General features: G+C 37.4%; 1 protein-coding gene across 13 annotated transcripts in view, besides 1 other annotated feature; it reads left to right on the forward strand.

The window, feature by feature from the left end:
• The window catches only part of PPARG (peroxisome proliferator activated receptor gamma), a 146977-nt gene that overhangs the window by 11324 nt on the left and 109501 nt on the right, over window positions 1-26152 (forward strand). For 9 of the 13 annotated variants that reach the window (NM_001354666.3, NM_138712.5, NM_001374261.3 and 6 more), the window contains exon 2: window positions 13689-13762. The exons of 2 other annotated variants lie outside the window; for them this stretch is intronic. The gene's annotated coding sequence lies outside the window, so the exon portion shown is untranslated. Of the gene's footprint in view, window positions 1-3075; window positions 3159-3283; window positions 3346-13688; window positions 13763-26152 lie in introns of those variants that run through there. 2 more of the 13 variants (NM_001374263.2, NM_001374264.2) reach the window with 2 other exon arrangements.
• Window positions 8263-8470: a silencer, noted in NCBI's record as "fragment chr3:12348453-12348660 (GRCh37/hg19 assembly coordinates)". NCBI's record gives its function as "represses an EF-1alpha promoter that drives an FKBP-Casp9 reporter gene in an ReSE screen in HepG2 liver carcinoma cells {active_cell/tissue: HepG2}" and the evidence as "EXISTENCE:reporter gene assay evidence [ECO:0000049][PMID:32094911]".

A 26152-nucleotide genomic window follows, 5' to 3' on the forward strand; every position in this document is an offset into this window, starting at 1 on the left:
TAATGATAAGCCAAGACAAACTTCAGCTAACAATATTTAGTTTATAGATCTTAGAATGTGTTTATGGGTAAAAGAACCTCGATGTGATGATACCTTAGAGAATAGATCTACTGAGACTGATGCGTTTTATTTTCATTTTTGTATTTTATTTATTTATTTATTGAGACAGGGTCTCACTCTGTCACCCAGGCTGGAGTGCAGTGGTGCCATCATGGCTCACTGCAGCCTCAACTTCTTGGGTTTAAGTGATCCTCCCACCTCAGCCTCCCAAGTAGCTGGGACTACAGGTGTGAGCCACTACACCCAGCTAATTTTTATATTTTTTGTAGAAACAGGGGTTCGCCGTATTGCCAGGCTGGTCTTGAACTCGTAGGCCCAAGCAGTCCTCTGGCCTCTGCCTCCCAAAGTGCTGGGATTATAGGTGTGAGCCACGCGCCCAGCCTGAAGCTTTTTTTAAATGAAGATTTATTCAACAAATGTCTATTGAGCCACTTATTTGTGCCACAAGCTGTTTCAGATAAGGAGGATAAAGCAATGAACAGACAAATTCCATTCCTCCTTGAGTTTACAATTATTGTTATCTAGATTTAACGAGAACATTTTTCAATGGGAATGACGGTGACTAAGAGGGGGTGAATGGGCCTGTGTCTTGTAACTAGATGGCATTGCTAGGCACCGTGGACTCAGGGGGCTCTCTCTGAGATTGGTATAGTGTATGGGAAAGAAAATCTGTATCCTTGAATATTTTTTCCCAGCTCTCTTACTATCCTATTATCTTAGGTTATGTTGCATGTATTCTATATTGTATATTATGCATAATATATTTATAATTTCTGTCTCAGTAATGAAGTGATTTCAGAGGAGGTAAGAATGAATCCTTTGCTAATAAGTTATTACTTTCCTTGAAAATCCAAATGACAAGAGGATTATTCACTTTGCAAAAGGATTATTTATTTTTATAATGTTTTCACAGTAGATTTAAGTGGTTAACTATTCAAGTGAATTTAATTTATAAATAAATCAATTAATTTAAAAAAATTATTTAACCCTAAGAAAATGTAAAACAAAGTTCATGGAGACTGTCCCATTAACATCAAAAAAACTTTTTTTCTTGGGAGATAAAGTTGGCTACTTTCTCTTTAAAAGGCCATTACAAACTTTTACAAGCTTAGAATATAATATTTGCGTAAAAGGAGACCCAGATCCTATTTTAAACGACCAAATTATTTTGATCAAATTACTTACTATAGCTATTTTCAATGTCTGTATTCACAAACTGTTTACTATTTCAGTTCTGTTTTCAAGTTGACAGAAAATATCATATTGACCACTTAGAAATAAATTCTGAACCACATGAATTTTTTGGGAAAAAATGATAAGGAAAATCAATTTTGATGGACTTTATATAAAGTTAAATAGAATTAATTCTTTCATATATACAGGGCCGTGAAATGTTACAGTGTAACTCAATACAGATGTAACCAAAACCTTCAAATTTTGCAAATTTCACCAGAGTTAATTTGTTTGGTTCTACAAACATTTACCAAATGACCACTCATTAAACCTGCCCACCTATGAACATGACCTTATAAAATGGTGAGACATAGCAGTATCTGGCACTGGGCACACAGATTACCACAGCTCAATAAAAGCTGAGAAAATGACTCAGTGATTGAACACAGCGCATTGCCATGGTTGTGTCTTTAAGCCATTCATGTAATTCATGCTGTGTATTCGACTTAGCCTGCTGTATGATCTTTGATCCTAACCAAGCACAATACAGCCACAGTTAATTTCTTTTTATCGTGAACATTAAATTTTTAAATGTCAGGTTGACTTTCTTTGTCCTATAACTTGTGTATGAAATATTTATCCTGGTCCCAGCTTTTTTTTTTTTCATTCTCAAAGGAGGTGAAACCAGCTTTTGAATTCAGAAAATGCAGACTAATATTAATATCAGCCAAAGTAAAACATAATTAGAAGGCAGATCTACTCTGAAATGGAATCTGATATATTCCATGTTCTGTGTTACACATATTTGCTGATTATTTGATGTCATGTCTGATAATTTTCATGGGAAAATTCCATGTACCAAGCAAAATTGTTAGTTCCTAGAGGGTAAGAATGTGTATAGTAGTTCTCATTCTCTTTACCTTGCTGTGCACTGTATACCTTCCCTAATTCCCAGCCAAACTGGGTGCACTATATACACTTTTTAATACTTTTCAACTTGATTTTATTTTGAGGACAAGTGTGTGCTTTTTCAGTATCACTTGTATAGGATTCTCCACAATCTTAGGGAATTTCCTAAACTACTCTTTAAAATATTAATTCCTATTTTATGTATTGTTTTTGTGATACATAATGATATGAAACTAATGCCAGGAGAAATTTCCATTTTGTTATTCTAAAGCAGACAAAATGGGATATGAAAGGGAAAAATGTTAATTATAGACTTCAACATTCTATGTTGGACCTCGTAGTTGTTCTGGTCAGAAGAACAGGTTTTTTAATGGCCTAAGGGCCAGAGCATTGTTTTGCATTCTTGTTTGGAGACTTTCAATGGCAACTGTAACAAACTCTGCTTAGTACCACAGTTGGAGAAAGGTTTACAATAATGCCCAGTACAAAATGTTATTCAGACTTACTACTCATGCATAAAATAAAACTGGTTCTCTTCTTAAACTTCGTTACATATTAGATAAAACACTATCAAGTTTTGGCCTCATTTGTTCATAATATGTAATTTAATTCAGTTGCTCAGCTAGTTCATATATGAATCACAAGTATTATCATCACAATTATTTAACAGTTAATCTCCTTTTATAGGGTAGATATGTGTTAATAAGCAACTTCAAAATACCAAAGAAACTGCTTTACATATACAAGCAAAGCAAATAGATGGACCTTGTGACATCTCTGGACAACCAGTCTTCTTGGTAGGCCTTCATCTGTGGGTGTAGAACGAAGGTAGGAGTCTGCTCACTAAAGATCAATGCAAGGAACTTCCATGCTCTCCACTGCTGGGCAACCTGCCATTCTCCTCCTGCCACCACACCTGTTCAGCTACTAGGGCAAAGAAGTGCCCTGCTAGACACAAGCAGATGCTTCTCTTACCAAGAGAAGATAATATAAGGAAGGATAAAGAACTGAAACAGGTTTGAGGCTTTCTCTTATTCATCATCTAGACTTCAGTTTTCTTGATTTATTATTCCTTCATGTCTTGCCAGACACAACAGTTGCACATGTGTTCAAGTTGGTTCTAGGCACAAAGGGAGATACCAGAGCTTCTGTAGCTACGAGATTATCATCTGCGTGAGCCAAGAAGGGGTAGTGTTGAAACAGGTAACTAACAATTCACAGCAGTATGTGATTAAGGGCTAAAATAAGTAAAGGGAGAGAACAAATGCTACAGAAATTCAGAGAAGGCTAAGATCAGTGTGGAGTGGAGGGTACAGCCAGGTAAAGCCTTGTAGAGAAAGTGGGAATTGAACTAAACTTTGGAAGCTCAGGGATTGACAGGATAGCCTCACGAAAAATACTAAAAACAATACAGAAGAAGAAACAAGAAGGGAATTAAAGGATGATTCCATTTGTACAAAATATCCCGAGTAGGTACATCCATAGAGATAGGAAGCAGATGAGTTGCCAGGGGCTGAAGAGAAAGGAAAGGGGGAGTGACTGCTTAATGGGTACAGGATTTCCTTTGGAGGTGATGAACATGTTTTGGAACTACACAGAAGTGATGATTGCACAGCTTTAAGAATTACTAAATACCATTGGATTGTACACACTTCATAAATACATTTTAAATTGTGAATTTTACCTCAAATTAAGAAAAAAAAAGTTCCTGGTTTGAGGTAACCAAAAGAGAAAATAATTTCCAGTATAAGAAAACAAAGCCTGGAATAGCAAATAAGCATAGAGTTAAGGGAAGGTTTGCAGAGATTAACCAGTTTGAAGTGGAGAGTGCGTGGATGTGAGTAGTGAGAAACATGGTTGGAAGTGTAGATTTTAGGCCAGATGATAAAAGGTCTGGAATGCAGGAGAAGGAGTGTGGGTTTTATCTCAGGAGCGGGGAGATTCCATATCGTAAGAAGAGGGGTGAGATGATTGAATCAGAAGATTAATTTGGCAGTAGCATGCAGGGAAAGCAGTCAGGAGGCTGCTGCAAAATCCGGACATACCATGAGGAGGGCCTGTAAGAGTGAAGTGGAAGGGCAGATGTGGACGATGCTCTGAAGCAGAGAATGATGCTCAAAGTGTGGTCCGTGGCTTGATGCTGCCCCACAAGTGTTAGTTACAGACCTGGCACACAGTAAGGGTAGATTTGAGGGTAAGTCTTTAAAACTTTAATATTATTATGATATTCAAGCGCATGATTTTGCATTTCATAGCAATATCCACAGTAGGTGTAAGAGACAAGAAAACTTCCTTCATGCCAGAGTTAGAAGACCGCTGCCCTAAAGGATGAATGAGTGGAGTTGATGACTGACTCCTGTAGGGCAGTCTTTTTTTTTTTGGAGATGGAGTCTCACTCTGTCACCCAGGCTAGAGTGCAGTGGCACGATCTTGACTCACTGAAACCTCCGCTTCCTGGGTTCAAGCGATTCTCCTGCCTTACCCTCCTGAGTAGCTGGGATTACAGGCATGCACCACCACACCCGGCTAGTTTTTAAAAGTATTTTTAGTAGAGATGGGGTTTCGCCATATTAGCTAGGCTGGTTTCGAACTCCTGACCTCAAGTGATCTGCCCGCCTCAGCCTCCCAAAGTGCTGGGATTACAGGTGTGAGCCACTGTGCCTGGCCAGGCAGTCATGTTTTATGGCTCCTTTACAGTGTTCCACCCCTTGTGCTAGACACTGGGACCAGAGCAGTAGGCAAGATGGACTGGCACTTTCCCTTGTGGAGCTCGCTGTCACATAAATAGTCCTTCTTTGTCAAAGGATTGCTAGGAATTAAAGGGAGGTCTGGTTCAGCTCAGCATAAGGAAAGCATTCTAATAACTACAGCTGTCCCATAGTGGGAAAGGATGATTTGTGAGAAAGTGAGTGCTTCGTCATTGGACATATTCATGCAGAGTCTGAATCATCTCTCAAGAAGTCTTGCTTTGGTGGGAGAAATGGAGTGGGTGACTTATCAGGTCTTGTGTAACTAAGGTGCCATGATTCCCTATTCTCTAATGTGAACTTAGTAGAACATATTTTCTTCATAACTGGCTGTATTGGAACACCAGTACATATACTAAGTTTCTGTCTGTTTCTATTAGCACTTGGAATTACAGTTACCTAAATTTACATGTAGATTCAATTTTGAACTTATCTGTACAGTTAGTTCCACAATTCTTTTTAAAGCAAGTACTATTCTCTAATGCCTTCTCAGACATTCACTTATTTCCAACTTTAATATTTATAGTAAGTTCCTCTTTCACGTGATGTGTGTCACAAGTCACGCAAATTTCTGCAGAAGTGAGTTACATAAATTGCAGTCAAGCTGCTGACCTGTAAATCATTCATTCTTGCCCCCGTGATGTCATATTGGGGTTGAATAAGACCAGGCGTGACTACCCACTTGAGGATGTCTTTGGGATGCCATTTTAATTGGGTGAAATAACTTTTATTATTCAACTTATGTGACCAGTTACTGCAAACGTCAAACTGTTACGTTTAACAGCTAGAATGATCATAGGTTAATTGCACTTTAGAGGATGTGGAGGACGTAGACTCCTATAGGAGTGATAGCCTTACTATATTTTGGGGGAAATTCTAGAATGTTTTTAACTCAAAGGACATTATTTTCATGAGGATGATTTTAATGCTTATGGTATCAGGTGAAGAAAAATGTTAGCTGCAGAAGAAAAAAATTTGTTTCACTTCAAGTCTAGTAGAATATTTTGTTAAAATAGCCAATTTTCATTATGTATTATTAAAACAGGTTATACTTTTCATTAAGATGTATGTAAAAATTTCACATGTGCCTGGTATTACACAGTATTTACCCAATAAATATTTATTGAATATTGTTGAATGAATGTGAGGTGAGGGCGGAGAAAATATTTCAAATGGAAAAATAGTATGAGCAAAGGAAAACGTGAATACAGAAAGAAGCAAAGATAGTTTCTTTAAAGTCGCATTTATATGTAATAACAATGGGAAAACTTTTTGGCTGAGTAATTTTGGTGGCTCCTTAATTTCTTAATATTTAACAACTAATGACGACTCTCTCTGATACTGATATCCAAAGCAAATAGCTGACCTTGAACATGGAAAAGTTACTGCCTCTGACTAATTGGAATGTCTGAGCCTTTCTTGTCTTCTATCTTCTTTCCTTCCTTTCTTCCTCTCTTTCCTCCTCTTTTCCCCTCAATTGTAGCACTAGCTCTTGTTCTTGTTCCCTCTACCCTTCTCCCCTTTTTCGTTCCTGGTGTTCCCTATGTTTTCTTCTTTCCTTCTTTTCTGTCTCTGTTTCTCTCCCTCTGAATTTCTGCTTCCTTTCCTCTCTTTCCCAATTGCTACTGTCTCTGCCTTTGGTTGTCTCTGAGTGTAATATGGAAGTGAAGTATATTTTTATCTACTAAACACATGATCAAATAGGGATTTTTTATTCTGAATTTAACATTAACAGAAATGTTATGTTGCTCTTTATGAGACGAAATAAAGTTGGATGTCACTTATAAATGGATTTTGATTGATTTTTTTAAAGTATTGACTCACTAATCTTCAAATTGGTAGAAGGAGGTCAGTAGACTTTGACTCATAAATTTTTGTAAGCGTAATGGCTTGTTGAATAACTCCTAATTGTCTTTAACAACCTTGGTTTCTGTCCTCTTTTTTCCAAATGCAGATATAGCAGATGTCTTCAGCATCTAATTTTTTATTACACTTTCATATGTGCAGTCATACAAGAGCTGGAGTATTTGTTTTGTTAATTCTGTATCTTTATTGTCTAGAACACTGCTAACAAATAGCAGATGCTCAACAAATAATTGTTGCTTAATATTTCAAATCTGTAGTGTCATTCTACCTCCTAATCCCAAATAGCCATCATAACTTTTTAGACTAACATTACTCATTAAGGTAACTTAGTATACAATGAATTTATAAATGTAACCATACAATTTCATGCTTAGAGAACGTTTTCTCTCCATTCTCTCTACCTTTAGACCATTCTGCAGTTTAAATCTTGAACCAAAATGTCATTTAACCATCCTTCTGAACGATAACTCCATAATTAACTCAAGCACCAAATAAGTCATCTAGCTCTTGATGGTAATAATTAATATTTGTTGAATGCTTATTCTATATCAGGCTCTGTTTTAAGCACATTATATACATTATCTCATTTTATTCTTTCAGCAGCTATGTACACCAGCAGTCCCCCACCTTTTTGGCACCAGGGACTGGTTTCATGGAAGACAGTTTTTCAACAGACTGGTGGCAGGTGGAAATGGTTTCAGGATGAAACTGTTCCACCTTAGATCATCAGGCATTAGTTAGATTCTCATAAGAAGCATGCAACATAGATCCCTCACATGCACAGTTCACAATAGGGTTTGCACTCCTTTGAGAATCTAAGGCTGCTACTGATCTGACAGGAGGCGGAGCTCAGGCAATAATGTTCGCTCGCCCACCACTCATCTCCTGCCACGTGGCCCAGTTCCTAACAGGCCATGGACTGCTACTGCTTCACGGCCTTGGGGTGGGGGACTCCTAATATACAGTATTAAAGTCAGATGAAGAAACAGGAACAGAGAGGTAAAATAACCTGCCAGGTGATAAAAACTAGGATTTGAACCCAGACAATCTGAACCCAGCCACCCTGTCATGCACAGGAGCCTACTTTGCAAGTATTTGGCCTTCCAGGGAATGAGATGTCCACATCCCATCACCACCGCCACCACTATTCCACATTTAACAATTAGACCTATACAGGTGTAACCATATTCACATGTAACAGTGGATTAAATTTAAACTTTTAGTTGTGTTAATTCACTGCAAATCAGCTTATGTGTCTTGTAAGTAGTAAGCAACTTGAAAGTACCTGTTGTTGCTTATGACAAGATAAATTAGATCACCAAATCTTTATATTTAGTAACTTCATCATCACTTAGAAATCAACCGCTGGGCCGGGCGCGGTGGCTCACGCCTGTAATCCCCCAGCACTTTGGGAGGCCGAGGCTGGTGGATCACGAGGTCAGGAGATCGAGACCATCCTGGCTAACACGGTGTAACCCCATCTCTACTAAAAATACAAAAAATTAGCCGGGCGTGGTGGTGGGCGCCTGTAGTCCCAGCCATTAGGGAGGCTGAGGCAGGAGAATGGCGTGAACCCGGGAGGCAGAGATTGCAGTGAGCCGAGATCGCGCCACTGCACTCCAGCCTGGGCGACAGTGCAAGACTCCGTCTCAAAAAAAAAAAAAAAAAAAATCAACCGCTGTTAGGAAATTCTTTTTTTTTTTTTGTCTCTCTTAAATTCCTCTTAATCTAAATAAAGACATTTTATTTTGTCTCAGGATACAGAGGTCAATTGAATATAGCAAATTTTGTCAGTGTTGTAAAAAATCTGGAGAGGAATGTAAACGGCTCATCTTGTGTCTGGCCTCTAATTGAATCAGTCAGCTATGGTGGGGTTAGGGGACAGATCCGTGTATTTACTTGCATAGGACAAAAATTAGTCATTTGTGAGTGTTCACATACTTCCACCTCTCCCAACCCACCAAAGAGAATTGTAATTTGACAGTACAATAATCCCTTCCCCTACTCTTAAAAAAGTTGATCTTACAAGGTCAGTCCTATGTTTTTATGAAAAAGAATTAGAGAATGAGTAGAAAGGAACTAGTCAAGAAAAGCAGAAGATTTGGGTTGATAGACATAAAGTGCTGGGAATGAGAGGAAGAGAGAGAGATCGTGAAATTCCTGGGCTGGGAATAAAGACTGTGTGTAGGTAGGACAGCCTTTGGTGAAGGAGACACTTTGGAGAGCATGGTGTGTGAAAACACTTAAAGGAAAATTAAAGGGAATTAAGAGGAAATTGAAGGGAAGGAGTATATGAGAAGGGTTGCTTTGTGGTTATAAGCTGAATTTTCTTTAATGTATTTTGAAAGACCCCGGTAAAGAAAGGAATTTCTTTTAATTTTGCAGAGAATGAGGAGTTGTCCAATTAGGTGTTGAATTGTTCTTCCTTGGAACTCTCAAGAGAGGAGTTGTGTTTAGAGATAGATTTGGGAGCTGTAAGCAAGTAGATGTGTTATGAGTCACAGTGCTGAGGGCAAGAATATAAAGAAGAGATGAAGGCCAAGAGGAAACTTAGAGAACACAAAATAGAAAAGCTCAGAAAGCAGGGGTACCAGGAAAAGGGACTAAAATAGTCATCATAAGGTAGGATAATAGGAGGCCGTGCACAGTGACTCACACCTGTAATCCCAGCACTTTGGGAGGCCAAGGCGGGTTAGAGATCAGCATGGACAACATAAGGAGATCTCGCCTCTACAAAAAAATGAAAAATTAGCCAGGTGTGATGGCGCACACATGTAGTCCCAGCTACTTGGGAGGCCGAGGTGAGAGCATCACTTGAGCCTGGGTGGTTGAGGCTACAGTGAACCATGATCACACCACTGTACTCTAACCTGGATGACAGAGCAAGACCCTGTCTCAAAAAAAAAAAAAAAAAAAAAAAAAAAGGGAGAAACTGATTTCAAGGAGCCAAGAAAAGAGACAGATTCAATAGTGGAGGATGGGCAAAATATCAAATGCTGCAGAGGCAGAGACCGTGGTGTGCTGGAGCCACATTGTTAAATTTTCACAATTTTATTGAGCCAATCGTTATGCATGCTATTATTAAAACTTAAATTGAATACAGTTAAACAAATTATATTAAAAATAAAAGTAATAAATACACAAAGCATACCACTTCCTTATTACTTTACATTGCTGAGATGATTCATGCCCATGGTATCTGAGTAGTGGAAATACACTGTAATATTTGTGCTGCTTTTAAATCAGTCATGGTGGGAGTATTTACACCACAAAAATTGGCAAACACTACCAATCAGGGCATTTTTCTCTGCAAAGAGAGCCAGTTAAATATTTACCAGCATGCCACTGAGAAAATAGAATTGAAGTCAAGAAAAGTCTAATGGATTTAGCAAGAAGGAGATGACATATACTTAAGTTTCAGTAGAAAGGTAGGTGACAAAAACCACAGTAAAGTGGGTTGAGGAGTGAAATAATAAAAAATTAAAAACATGTGTTCAAGTAAGTTTGAGAACCATTGAATTAAACCGAGAAGCAGATTGTTATTGTTGATGATGGTTTTGTTTTTTAAATTACAAGGTTTGCAGAGTACATACTATGCTAATGTACTTTATTAATCTCCAAAAATGAAGACCATATGCAAATTTATTTTATGGTAGAACCTTTTCTGTTGGAAAATCTTAGGGAACAAGTTATCTATAGAATACATTTTGGGAAATGCTGCTCTTGTATTTCACAATTAAGATGATACTGATTGTAAAGTTTGAGATTAATATTCTTGTTTTTAAAGTTTCATGCTTTTTAAAAGAAATTTTGTCAAGAATGGATGTTGAATTTTACTGAGTACTGTTTTTGTCGTTTTTGTAGTAATCATACGGTTTTTTGACCTAGTGCTGTGACACATTTTAATAGATTTTCAAATATTAAATCCTCTTTGCCTTTCTGAGATAAATGTAACTTGATTATGGTGGTTCATTATTTTAATAGAGGATTTAATTTGTTAATTAACATTTTATTTATTATTTAAAATCAATATTGATAAGTGGGACTGATATTTTTCTCTGTTGTCAGGTTTTAATATCAGTGTTATGACACTCCAGAAAAGTTAATTATGTCACTATATTTTTTCCTACTGAGAAACAGCTTATGTAGTAAGAAAATCATCTCTTCCTTGAAAGCTTTAAAAAATCAACTATAAAACTAATAGCTTTTGGAGGAAGTAATTCTTTGATAAGTTTTCAATTATTTCCATTGTTAATTATTTTTCTGTATCTTAAGTCAACTTCACCATTTATTTCATTTCAGACAAGTTAGTCTGAGTAAACTGCCCTTGGCCTGCCTTATTATTTACTTAGGTTCTGGTAAAAATCCCATCCCAGATGTAAAATCATTGTGTGAGTAGAGATGAACAGCCCCTGTCTAACGTGGGCTGTGTTTAAGTGTGAGGCAATTGTCTGCTGTCTTCACAGCCCAGTTCTCTGGCTTCTAGGGATGATGGGTAGGGTGTTTATAATCGAATGAATATAAACTAATCTTGAGTTAAATGACCAGATGGCAGAGGTGAAAGAACGGCAATCCTTGGTGTCTACTCCCCCCAGAATGGATCTTGTCTCTGCCCTACTGTGTTTCACATCTGGGGACGATTCCTTCTAAGATACAGTGCAGTTCTGAATGGGTTCAGAAGGAAGAGGACTGGTAGCAGGAGGGGGTCTGGGGGAAAGGTTACCTAAATCTGCCTGACTCTGACAGTAGTAAGAACCAGCCAAGTGTTCTGTTTGATCCGACACTTGGGGCTACACACTAAGAATAGATACCAGTTTCTAGAAATCTTTACTTTTTGCCCATCTACTTCTGAAGAAATACCTATGTATTTCAAAGGAAAATTGGCACAAGTATCAAGGAAAGCTGGTACAACTTAATCTTAACCTGGAATCAACTCCTTTAATTTTTACATACAGATTTGGTTCCGTTTTTTAGATTAAAATTTTTACCTTTGTTTTCACGTATTTGAGCCCTTTTTTTTTTTTTTTTTTTTTTTGAGACAGAGTCTCGCTCTGTCGCCCAGGCTGGAGTGCAGTGGCGGGATCTCGGCTCACTGCAAGCTCCGCCTCCTGGGTTCACGCCATTCTCCTGCCTCAGCCTCCCAAGTAGCTGGGACTACAGGCGCCCGCCACTACGCCCGGCTAATTTTTTGTATTTTTAGTAGAGACGGGGTTTCACCATTTTAGCCGGGATGGTCTCGATCTCCAGACCTCGTGATCCGCCCGCCTCGGCCTCCCAAAGTGCTGGGATTACAGGCGTGAGCCACCGTGCCCGGCCGAGCCCTTTTTAATAGTTGCCTTAAATGTAAAAAAAAAAAAAAAAAAAAAAAAAAAAAAAAACCCAAGTGGTAATCTGTCATAGATAAAGTGTTTCTCATCTCTCATGTGTTTTGCCTGTTGTGTGTAATGAGCGGTTTCGCTGTGGGTGCTCCTTTCATTTCTGGCTAACACATTAGAGTGTGTTTATGTAAATTGCTGTGATACTGGTCAGCAGTCACAGCCAGAAAACATAAAACATGTGGGCATTACACACTGACACATTAGCTCTTTCTAAAGAAGAACATGTCCCATTCTGAAAAGAAAATTATTGCTTTGTTTTTGATATTGAGTCTGTATTAAAATTTTTTTTTTATTTTTGAGACAGGGTCTCACTCTGTTGCCCAGGCTGGAGTGCAGTGGTGTGATCATAGCTCACTGCAGCCTTGAACTCTGGGACTCAAGAGTTCCTCCTGCCTCAGCCTCTTGAGTAGCTGGGACTACAGGCACATGCCACCATGCCCAGCTAATTTTTCTGTTTTTTGTAGAGACAGGATTTCGCTGTGGTGCTCAGGCTGGTCTCCAACTCCTGGGCTCAAGCAATCCGCCTGCCTCAGCCTTCCAAAGTGAAAAGGTTTTCTCTCATTTTTCAAATAGAAGTACTAAACAATGCCAGAGAAATAAATAAACAGGCAAAATACGTTGGCTATAGTTTATATTATTTCCTGCTACAGTTAACAAAATGGGAAAACATTTTATCTTCATGGTCTACTACATTTATGCCATGTGTTAAGTAATAAAATAGCTTTTGTAAATTATAAATTAAAAGGTACAGATTTAAAAGAGAAAATACTGTAGAGTTTCATGTAGGTAAGACTGTGTAGAATGTCGGGTCTCGATGTTGGCGCTATTCAAGCCCTGATGATAAGGCTTTTGGCATTAGATGCTGTTTTGTCTTCATGGAAAATACAGCTATTCTAGGATCCTTGAGCCTTTCATAAGAGATAAGGTTGTGAATCCTAAGACCCTAGGACCATTTACTTAGATGATCTGCTCTCTGGTTCGTCCTCTGAAAAGTCTGCTTCGTGAGGGGTGTGCTGCATTTGCCTTGCCTAAGTGGTGTGGCACACAACTGTACTGTCACCTTAGGCTTAATAACCATGTGTCATCTAGAATGAAGTTATATTTTACTAAGGATCGTTTTTGCCATGTATAACTTCTCAAACATTAACTTTCAGGGTTATTAATCCTTTTAAGGTCTAGTTTTTCTTAAGTCTGTGCAGTAATAGAGGTATCGTCATTCATGTGACATAAAAGATGGAAAGGGGCTTCATTCATGTTAGTGATGGAAATAGGAAAGTAGGTGAAGTGATTCTAATAGATGTTTCTTTTATGAAATAATTTTTAAAAGATTCTCCAGCCCTGCATGATTTATGATGAATCATTTTGTGGTCTGTTAGTTACTTCTAGAGAATAGAAAGCATTGTAGGCTCAGGGAAAGCAAACATTCAGAATGAAATCCAATAGAGAAGGTAAATTTATTTGGGCATGTACATTTTGGCAGCCTAGGCTGTGTACATGTGTACACATTCTGAACATGTGTGTATATTGAAAATCTTGTCTCTTTTTTATTGTTAAGATTTGAAAGAAGCCAACACTAAACCACAAATATACAACAAGGCCATTTTCTCAAACGAGAGTCAGCCTTTAACGGTAAGTAAAATCAGAATTTATACTGCATTTGTATTGAAAAGTATCCCTTTTAAAGAATATGTAAATTATACATTGTATTTTATTGTAAAATTTCCTAGAGAGTGATTTTTGACTATTATAATACTTTCTGCTATATAATTTTCCAGTCAGTTGGACTATGCAGTGTAACATATTTGTCTAACACAAAACAAAGGTAAGATAGGAAAATGACCTAGAAGTTGAGAAATAACTCAAATCCTTAAAAATGAATCTCTAATTAAAGTCTTTTATATTCATGTTATTTTTCTACTTAAGTAATAATTACATTATTTTAGATTCTTATGATACTTTTAATTAAATTGAGATAAAAATTAAGATTTCTTTCATGGTTCCCTATTGGCCATGCAGTCATAATCTGTGGTCACAAAGGAGAAAGTAGCTTCGTATAAGCCAAATGTGCTCCATTCTAGGAGGAAGAATTGCTAAGTTATACCCGGCATTAAAACTACTTCCTTCCTGGAACTGACTAGATGGGGGTAGGATTTCAGAGGCTCCAGGGGCTCCCAAAGTTTCGGGATATCCACCATGGATAATTTATCCTTCCGAGGCCTAACTATAGGGTTCCAAGACAGTTCTTAGTCCCCAACTTTTTTGGGAAGGAAAAGGAGACCTGTCACTTTAAGGTTTTATGTAGTTTTAGGACTATTGATTTTGGTAAATCATGAGCTATCACAGAATAGCTCATTTTCCTGAAATCTGCAAATAAATGAAATCCACAACATTGAATAAAGAATCATCAGATAGATAGATACAGAAATTAATATAGAGATGTGTATATATGTGGGTTATTATACATATATATGTTTGCTAACTCTGTCTGCTTCTAGAGGACCTAGAAGCAGTGACTCCCCAGTAGCAAACTAGATCGTGGTTTCCAAATACAGGCTGAGCATCCCAAATCTGAAAATCTGAACTTCAAAATGCTTTCAGATTCCAAACTTTTTGGGCATATAGGTGATGCTCAAATAAAATACTCTTGGAGCATTTTGGATTTTGGATTTTTGGATTTGGGATGCTCAACAAGTAAGTGTTAAGCAAATATTCCAAAATCCAAAAAAATTCAAAATCCGAGATATTTCTGGTCCCAAACATTTTGGATAAGAGATACTCAATCTATACCATTTTTCCTTAAAGGAAACCAGAGCTCTTTGGAGAAGTGGTTAATTCTAAGGCTGGGGCAGGGAAAATACAGGCTGAGCCTGGAGGATGTTGTGGTCAGCCTGAAAGAGCTCCCAGTGGCCAAAGCTGGAACAATTTCATCAATAAAATAACTACGTATAATATTGAATTATAATCTGATTTATAAATAAAATGTATACACATGAGTCCAAATTGATATACATAAATGACTGAATAAGTAAATAAATGGGGGGAGAAGAACTCTTTCTTGTAGAAGACTTTAATAAATGTAAAAGGAATGAGGGAAATAGAAAATTGTTGTCACAAAGCCACAGCAGTAATTGCTGCATGCAACTTCCACTAATACTAAAATTAGTGAGGTGGGCCAGGCATGGTGGCTCACGCCTGTAATCCCAGAACTTTGGGATGCTGAGGTGGGCGGATCATTTGAGGTCAGGAGTTCGAGACCAGACTGGCCAACATGGTGAAACCCCATCTCTACTAAAAATATAAAAATTAGCTGGGTGTGATGGCGGATGCCCATAATCCCAGCTACTTGGGAGGCTGAGGCATGAGAATCAGTTGAACCCAAGAGGTGGAGGTTGCAGTGAGCTGAGATCGCACCACTGTACTACAGCCTGAGCAACAGCAAGACTCCCTCTCAAAAAATTAATTAATTAATTAATTAATTAATTGAGTGAAAGTTTAAGGTGAAACAGAATATTTGCATAACCTCAAAGTATCTGCCCCCACTTACTCAGTAATTACAAAAGGAAAAATAGTAACTTTACAGTGGAGAATCCTGATGGACACCACCTTAACCACATGATCAAGGTCAATATCAAGGATAGTAAGACATAGTGAGCTCATATGCCCCTGATAGAATGTCCTGAAAAGGACAGATCATGCCTTTCGAATTCTTCCCAAACATCCTTAATCTCATTTGACTATGAGAAAGCTTTAACCTAAATACAAACACATTCTTCAAAATATCTGACCCTCGCCGTTCAACAGTGTCAGAGGCATAAAAGACACATCTTTGCTAAGGAATCACTACAGATTAGGAGGAGAATATTGCATGACAATTAAATGCAATGTGGGATCCTGGATTGGATCCTAGAGCTGAAAAGGGACGTTAGTAGGAAAACTGGTGAAATCCAAATAGTTATAGTATTGTGCCATTCTCAATTTATTAGGTCTTTTTTTGCTTTTATTATTATTTTTAATTAACATATAATTGTACATATTTATGTGGTACAGTGTGACATTTCAATACGTGCATACAATGTGTAATGATCAAATCAGGGTAAGTAGCATATCCATCACCTCAGACACTTATCATTTTTTTGTATTGGGAGCATTCAAAATCTGCTCTTCTAGCTATTGGAAAATATACGATAGGTTGCTGTTAATTATATTTACCCCACAGTGCTATAGATCATTAGAACTATTCCTTGTATCTAACTGTAGTTTTGTGTCTGGTAACCAATCTCTTGCTATCCCCAGCCCTTCCCAGCCTCTAGTAGCAACTATTCTACTGTCCACTTTTATGAGATCAACTTTTTAAACTTCGCATATGAGTGAGAACATGTGGTATCTGTCTGCTTATTTCACTTAACATAATCACCACCAAGCTCATCCATGTTGTCATGAATGACAGGATTTCATTCTGTTTTATGGCTGAATGGTATTCCATCGTGTATGTGAGCCACATTTTCTTTATCCATTCATCTGTTGCTGGAACTCAGGTGGATGCTGTATGTTGGCTTCAGTGTATCAACACTGATAATTGTGCTGGGACTGCACTGTGGTAACTGGGGGGAAGCTGGCTGAAAGGTATGTAGGAACTCCCTCCACTATCTTTGCAACCTTTCTGTAAGCCTCAGATTATTTCAAGTTAAGTAGTTTTTTAAGGTCACAATGGAGTCACTAAATAATCATTCTCATTAGATTTTCGCTAATTTATAGAGGAAGATTCTGCATTTGCAAATCTTAGAACAGAGTAATGCAGGGGCATTCTTTTCATCAAGACTATTTCTTGAGCTATTTTCTAATCCTTCTCATACACACTCCCATCCCTACCTCTACAAGTCTGGTCTCTATTTAGTGTACTTAATACTTTAGCCAGTTGCTTACAGCCCTCTAGAAACCTGTGAGTGGGAATAACTCCACAAAGCTCTGCCTCCTCGGGAACCACATCTTAGCAGTGTTTTTTGTTGGTGACAGTGAGGGTCTAATTTGAATGTTCACACCAGAACTGTCAAAGTATTTCATGCAATACTTTGAAAAAAATCTCTTGATCCACCAATCATCATTACCCAAGACAGGATTTGAACAAGAATTTAGAACTCGTAGTCTTATATTTGTTTGAATGGGAAGAGGAGAGAAGCAGACCGTATTGTTTCTAGGCAAAATGTCTGGGAATTCAGTGAATACAAGTAGTACTACGGGAACTTTCATTCTTAAAGGAAATCAATGACAGCATTAAGTTGTCTAGAAAATCAGTTTAACTTTAGAAAAGCATAAAGCCGTTTAAAATCAAAAGAGCAAACTCTTAAAAGACAAAGTTAGGAGCAGGTACGTACTTTGGCGTCTGAAAATGAGCGGTCTAAATTCAAGCATTTTGACATGAAAAATGAAATGTGAAGTATTTGGAATTCAACCCTGAATTTTTTTGCCGGTAACTCTTGTGTATGTTCAACTAATTTAGCAAACTGCACTAGTTCACATTTTTTAGGTGAAACAAGAAATAACAGAAGTTGCACCTAAAGTAGTCAAATTTCGTAGAGACAGAAAGTGGAATGGTGCTTACCAGGGGCTGCGGCACTGGAAAGGAACGGGGAGTTAGTGTTTAATGGGGACAGTTTCAGTTTTGCAAGATGAAAGCATCCTGGAGAATGGTTACACAACATTGTGAGTGTACTTAATGCCATTGAATGCACACTTAAAATGGTTAAAATGGTAAATTTTATATTGTGTATATTTTATACAGTTTTAAAAACTAAAAAAAAAAAGTAACAAGTCTTCAGCAGTTATATTCCACTTCATTGCCAGGGTGTCTGGCTCTAAGGGGAATCTCTGCTTAGAGGACCATTAATCCTTAGGAACCTTTTTTTTTTTAAAAAATCTAAAGATGGTTCCTGGACATCATTTACCAACTGGCAGTTTAAATGGCCTGTGTACCATAAATTGTGAGGTTAAAAAAAATCTGGTACACAGGAAACAGTAGAGCTGGGTGGCTGGGAGAGTTGCTTTTGGGGTTAATTTATAACTAAGACAAATGAATCTATGAAAAGAAGAAAAGCCCCGTAAGAAATATGCTAACTGATGGTGAGGGAGAAAAGGGTTTAGATAAAAGATATCTGAACTTGTTTGGTCTCAGTGATTTTATGACTGAGGAATTCAATTATAGATGTACTGGATGGAGCAAATCACAATTCTGTAAATTACTAATAGGACACAACGATCTTTATCATTTTCTGTATGTGCTCACATGCAAAGTTCAGTCCTGCCCTCTGTAAATAAACTCTCTGCCTAGCTATACCCATGCTATGAATTCAGGGCTTGAGTGTTGAAACATAGGCAATGCTTACTGCCCCAACCTTAAAGGCAGGTGGAACTGAGATTAGGAACGAAGACAAATTACTTTTGCTTTTGAATTTTGGCCTTCGGGTTTGTTTCATTTTTGTTCATTTCTTTTCATTTTTATTACTAAAAAGCTGATTTTTTAAAATAAAAAGATCACAACCACACAAAAAAACTATTCTTCTGTAGTTTCTTCCAGTTTTGTTCACATGTGTATGCTTTTTATTTACTGACAGTTACCGTATATACATCACTTGGCCCTCAGCCTCTTTCACTGTTAGGTCCTATAAATTTTTCATTTCTACCTGGCTTTCAGAGTTTTCATAATGGCAACATAATCTTAGTGATAGCACGTAATTTACTAAGCCAGTTTTTAGGTGGCTTCTGGTGTTTTTATTATTGTATAATTATGTTTTATTCTTATACCATTACATACCATGAATATCTTTATGTAAATATTTCACTCAATTAAAAAAATATTTTCTTCAGATAAATTGCCAAGAGAGGAATTTCTTTGTTAAAGTGTTTGAGCAATTAATTACCTTACTCTTGCATTATTAATTTTATGACATTTCAAATTGCTTGGAGGATATATTAATAGCAAATGAACAAAACATACAAAGCATAAATATATTTTGGAAATACATTTAAATGATTTCTGTTAATTTAAATGAATTATCATTTACTTAAGGCTTTGGGTGTATGATAGTGGTGGGAGGCTGGAGAGTGAAGCGCTTCAATAGTTGTTTAGAGATTAGAACGATGTGAGTGGTTTATTTTTATTTTTATTCTTTAGAGGCAGGGCCTTCCTCTGTTGCTCAGGCTGGAGTGCAGTGGTGCAATCATAGCTCACTGCAACTTCAAATTCCTGGACTCAAGTGACCCTCTTGCCTCAGCCACCGGAGTAGCTGGGACTACAGGCACACACCACCGCACCTGGCTAATTGCTAAATTATTTTCAGAGATGAGGCCTTGCTATGTTGCTCAGACTGGTCTCAAACGTCTGGCCTCAAGCAATCCTCCTGCCTTGGCCTCCCAAATGGTGTTTTTTTAAAAAACCCAGCTTAATAGCAAAGAAGTTACAGATTATTTCCTGAGGCTATGTCAAATTTAAATAAAATGTAAAGACTGTGCTGTGGGTCCCTTACCACCTTTAAGTCTAAGTTGCTAGTTATTAGGAAGAAATGATTGCTTTTGAAAATGCAGATTTAACAAAGTAGGACTTTCATAGAGATAAGTTCAAATCAGTTTTTAAAAAATATTCATTTAAAACCAAATATTTTTAAATTTGTGGTTTGAATATTTGAGAAACAAATTTAAGAATAAAGATACAATAAGAATTTTAAGATACAAAACTATATGTTTACAATATATTAAAATGAATAGGAAAAAGATTATGGGTGAAACTCTCTCCTTTTTATTCTCAACTTTCTGTTTGGGGGTTCAGTGTCTCCTTCCACAGTTTTCTTTGCCTCAAATAAATAAAGCCAATTATGAGCTCTACAGTCTGAGTTATAGTATTCTTGGTTCTTTGGGTACCGCCAATAACTTATATATCACAAATAATACATATACAGTGTTACATAGTAAGTGCTCAATAATTGGAAGCTAGTTCCATGGGGCAAAAGGAAAGCAACTGTGTTCTCTTTCATACTGTTCTAGTTTTTTTTTTCCTTTAAGCTTGTGACTTCTTGTTCTTCAGTCCAGATCCTGTGATCTGAAATAATTTAAATTATTAAAAGTTAGATATTTTTAACCTTTTATACTCCCACTAGACAGGACATAGGAAATTTAGTGACGTAAGCATCTTTAATAATCCTTAAAAGTCATAAGACTTGGTGGCTGGGACAAGAAACAATTAGGTATAAATTTCAGGGAAATACCATAATGGCATGACTTTTGTTTTCTTTTGTTAACAAGCCACATGGCTTTCCTCTCAAGCCCAAGGAATACATAGTGTGCTCTCCTTTTAAGATTTCAGTTTTGTCTGCATCACAGAGATGTATGTTTCCCTAAGTTTGCTCACTATAATTTGTGATTGCTATTTTTCTTATCTGCGAAGGAAGTACAGCAGCTCCCACTGGGGAAATACCATGTTAAGTTGATCCTAAAATAAGAAATCTAAGGGAAAGGTCACATCCTAATAACTTGTGCAAATCTAAATTCCCATGGAGCTTTGCAATCATTTTGTAGGAGTATAAAAAATCTATTATTGAACTTCTTCCAGATAGCGTCGTAAAATTGAAGTACTTTTATATACAGAAGTAACCACTAAATTATAAATACAATTGACAAGACCTAATTTTTTAAGCAATCTATTATGAATACGTAGAGAAATCTGGCATGACTAATAAACCACAAAATCTTTCTTGTCACTTTCACTGGAAATATAAAGTATATTACTCATGAAGTATTGTGATAATTACATACAATAGTAATTTCCTATTACTATAGAGATATTTAATACTCAATTTTTACTTTTTTTTTTTTTAACTGATGCTGACCTTTTAGTTATACTTTGGAAGAACCTTAACCATGTTGTTCCAGGGAAATTCACTGCTTTGGGAGCCAGGTCACTGAGTTACTACTGTCTTTCCTCTTCTGTTCTTTGGCCATCGTTTAAGTTTCCTTACCTGTTAAGTAAGAAAGGTTTATGTTAAGGATCAAGTAAGATCAAATATATAAAGGGTTTAGAAATAATTTACGGCGTATATTTATGGTATTACTGTAATAATTGCCTTGACTTTTTTATCTTTTCCAAATGAATAAATCAAAATAGAAAGAGGTTGAGTAACTTACTCGAGCTAACAGTCACCGGTACACGCTAATCAGTGCCCCACTCACTGGTCAAATCTAAGTAATTCTTCAAGGGATGGAATGTAAATGGAAACTGCTCCCTTATGCTGCATACAGAGGTATTACATTTTGCAGTAAGGATTGATTGTTTCCTAGCACGTAGTAACTAACCTGTTTTGAGGATGCGTTGTTAGAAATGCATCTTGGACATTTATGTATATATACGTGCATATATATATGTATGTATGTATGCATGTATGTATCGCTAGAGGAATGTGCGTCCTTGCTTTCTTACTACAAATTAAAGCTGAACAGAATGTGGTGTTTGTCTTTTGGTATTGTCTGAATAAATACCAATATCTACTAGTATTTATTTCCTTGCTGGTAATAATGTGTTTTCATTAATTTAAGATTTATAGGAACATACTTGGGTGCTCTGCCTGCTAGAAACTGATCTGTAGCATGAGCCATTTGTTGAAAGTACTTAGATATTTCTGCATTTATTTATTTCTGTTTCAGACCCCACAATAACTATATTACTATAAGAAATATAGGCCAGACACAGTGGGTGGGTCACACCTGTAATCCCAGGAGTTTGGGAGGCCAGGTGGGTGGGTTACACCTGTAATCCCAGCAGTTTGGGAGGCCCAGGTGGGAGGATGGCTTGAGGCCAAGAGTTGGAGACCAGCGTAAGCAACATAGTGAGACCCTGTCTCTGCAAAAATTAAAATAAAAAAATTAGCCAAGCATGGTGGCGCCCGCCAGTAATCCCAACTACTCAGGTGGCTGAAGCAGGAGGATCACTTGAGCAGGGAGGTCAAGGCTGCAGTGAGCCATAATTGCACCACTGCACTCCAGCCTGAGGGACAGAGTGAGACCCTGTCAAAGAAAAAGAAAAGAGAAGAGAAGACTAAATTGTTTTTTACATGCTTATCTATGTGATGTGAGTTCAAAGAATCTCTGCAATGATTCAATATCTTTTTAATATTTTTGTTTGGGAAAAGCATTAAGCTCCTTCATTGTGTTAATTAATTCAGTTTTCTCTTTTATGTTATACACCAGCATGAAAAGTGTGAGATGTTAGAGGCCCACATCAGTACCCTACCACATATTTACCAGGAAAAGCTGACTTTATGCTTAATGGCAGCAGTCACCCCTTTAAAATGTGTGGCCTCTGTGTCCGATGGCGTGGACTCACTTCCTTTAAGTTCATGGCCTTCTGAAGATCAGCTGGGCTGGGATGAGTGGTGGCTGGCATGTGGTGGAGTGTCTTGCTTCCCTCTGATACATGGAAGTTATAAAAAGTCTCACTAATGAATGTTCTTAATATATATGGGGTAACTAATTTATGCATCAGACTTTGGAATAAAAGTAATAGCAACAGCAAATGAGAGTCTAAGAATAATTCATTTTTTTGATACACTTCTGCCCCCAGGTGCCAAATGCTACAGGGTGGAGGCGGAGGGAGACAGAAAATCTTTCTGTATAGGAACCTACTGATCGCTGCTACTATAAATTTTTCTAACCATTTTATTTCCATTGATTATTGTTTTAGTTCAGGTTTTCCTTATTCCTCATTTGGGTTATTGCAGATTAACTCTCTGACCAAGCAATCCATCGTTTCCATCATCCTCCAGTCCATAGTTATATTTCATCCCCTTTCAGAGAGCATTACAGACTCTGTGGTCGGCCCAGCCTACCTCTTCGATGTCATCACCTCCACCTGCTCCCACAAATCTTATGGGTCAGACACACCAGGCTGCTCAGTGTCCTCTCACAGTGCTGAGTTTATGACTGGGATGGATTGATTTTCATACTATTGTTGATTCAACATTTTTTATAGTATACTTCTTGAGAACAGAGACCATGTTCAGGGATCCCTAGTGCTTAATACAATTCCTACCAAATATTATGCAAGTAATAAAATTGCAGTGTCATTGAACATTTTCAGATATGCATTTATTTCTACTAATTAATCTTAGTAGTATTAGCAGCCTTGACTAAATATTATTTCTAAATTGATCAACATGCGATGCAAAGCATGCTACAGAATTGAATTAAGAAAAGAATTTCCATGAGAGATATGCATTTACAATTTTGTAGATTTAATCTTTGCATAGACTTTTTTGTTGCAGATACTGAAAAGGAATCCATAAAAATACATAGATCCCTTTACTAGCCACTTTTAATTTACGGATGAGGAATATTCAGTTCACAGACTGGCTAGCGCTTTTTAGCTTTCTTTAGCGTTTGAAGCAGGGCTTCTAAGTCACATGAAAGACTAGACTAGTTATTGGCATTTAAATTTTTTGGCTCCTACTTGTATGTATTATTTATTAAACAAGTAGTTATTGCACTACCTTTATGTATGCAGCACTGTTTTAGACAAAATAGAATTGTGACATATTCCTTGCTCATGGTCTTGTTTCAAAGACAATACCTACAACTGAAAGAATTAAATAATAGAGCCAGGCAATATCTGATTGAGGAAAAGCATGCAGTAAAAGTTCAGAGAAGAAGATACACGTGCAGAACTGGAATGGTCAGTAGTTGCTTCATGAGATGGTTGCACTGAGCTGAACCCTTAAGTAAGGATGTGGATACATGAGAAGGAAGAAGCTGGAAATTTTAAACATGAGGAGCTTCATGGGGAAAGAATTTCAAGCTATCAAAAGATATCAAAGATTGAGGAATTTGGACTTGGTCTGGGAGGTATTGGGGATCTTGAAGATTTGGGGGTAGGGAAGTGATATGACAAAAGCTGTGTTTGGAAGGCACAAGTGAAACAGAGTTGGGTTTTTTTGTTTGTTTGTTTGTTTGTTTTTTTCAGACAGGGTCTCACTCTGTTGCTCAGGCTGGAGTGCAGTGGTACCATCTTGGCTCACTGCAACCTCAACCTCCCAGGCTGGAGTGATCCTCCCACCTCAGCCTCCCAATTAGCTGGGACTATAGGCATACAACACCATGCCTAGCTAATTTTTGTATTTTTTTTTAATAGAGGTGGAATCTCGCTATGTTGGCCAGCCTGGTCTTGAACTCCTGAGCTCAAGCCATCCTCCCACCTCAGCCTCCCAAAGTGTTGAGATTATGGGCGTGAGCCACTGTGCCCAGCTAAAAGAGAGATTTTGATAGCTTATATGATTTGATGACTGAATAAAAAATAAAGAGGATGAAAAAAGTGAAAAATGAATTTTTGGCTGATAAATAGAGAAATGGAGGTATTAAAAGAAATTGGGAAGAGAGACTCTGTTTCAGGAGGAAGAGGGATTAGCTTGATTTTTGGATTTGATGAAGATGTGAAGTTAGGTGACCAGACCTCGATTCAGATTTTAGAATCAGACTCTTTGATTTGGTGTCATTAACATTGATTGAAGAATGTTTTGAAAGCTGAGGTATTAAGAAACAACACAAAGGTGGAGTTTAAAAGAGGAAGTTGAGCGTTTGGAGAGAGTGCCATGCCAAAGGAGGGGACTTTTAAGAAAAGGAAGACAACACTTAGTACTTCTGTGTACCCAGCCTTGTAGGAATAACTTTACCTGTGTAATCTTATTTTATTCTCACAGTACCATGTAAAGTATGAATTATCATTGTCCCTATTTGACAGGTGAATTAAGTGAAGTTTATTGTGGTTAAATAACTTGCCTGAATGTCGTGCTGCTGGTGCAAGGTTAATCTGGATTTAAACTGAGATCTGTCTGTCTAACCCCCAAGCCCACATATTTTTTTAATTGAAATGCTGCAAAATGGTAATGAAAGGTCAAGAAGAATAAAAAAAAAAAGAGTAAGGCCATTAGAATGTTCAAGGAGAAGATCATTGTTTAAGATTATAAAAGCGTAGTGGTAGGAATATTTCAGCATTTAGAAGGTAATAGTAAATTAATGGAGGAAGTGACCCTAGACCATTGCTAATTTGGGCAGCGAGTAGGACAGTTCTCTTCTGAGGCAGCTGAGTCAAGTACAGCAGAGAAGAGTGCTCATCAGTGGAGAAGGTGGGAATAGTGTTGGAGAGGTCTCAGAATAAACATTAAGTAATCCCAGCACTTTGAGAGGCTAAAGCGTGTGAATCACCTGAAGTCAGGAGTTCAAGAGCAGCCTGGCCAACATGGTGAAATCCCGTTTCCACTAAAAATACAAAAATTAGCCACGTGTGTTGGCACTCACCTGTAATCCCCGTTACTTGGGAGGCTGAGGCAGGAAAATCTCTTGAACCCAGGAGGTGGAGGTTGTAGTGAACCGAGATCGTGCCACTGCACTCCAGGCTGGGCAACAGAGCAAGACTCTGTCTCAAAAGAAAAAAAAAAGAATAGACATTAAAAAGACACAGACGATGTGAGAAAAAAGACTGTTCCCACCAAGTTTAGAAGAAAGGATAATGAGGTTGATGTGCCTGCTGTGCCGGGGGGATAAGAGAAAGGTGTCAGGCAAGAATAGATGTATAAAAGCACTAGTTACAACTATACTTTGAAAGTCATATTTTACCTGGAAGAAATCTCAAAAAACAAAGACTACATGGCAGTTAAGTGACCCAAATCAAGTCACTTTCCCTCTTCAGGCCTCAGTTTTCCCATATGTTAGACAGGTTAAATTAGGTGAGACAAACTGATCTTTTAGGACCATTCTATAATACTGTGCTTAACTTTCTAAGCATTCTGGAATGGAGCAGCCTTGATCTTTTCACAGATACGTCAACCATATAGCTTTATTTATAAAACGAACATGTTGAGATAACTAAAATTAGAGTTAATATCTTCATAGGTACAAAGAAACTTTTAGAACTTAAGTCCACAAGTCAGAATTTCTGGATGAATTCCTTTTTCCTCTTATTAAAAATTGTTAAGATGTCTGATTAGA

Source organism: Homo sapiens, chromosome 3 (assembly GCF_000001405.40).
Source record: "Homo sapiens chromosome 3, GRCh38.p14 Primary Assembly".
Classification (NCBI taxonomy): Eukaryota; Metazoa; Chordata; class Mammalia; order Primates; family Hominidae; genus Homo; species Homo sapiens.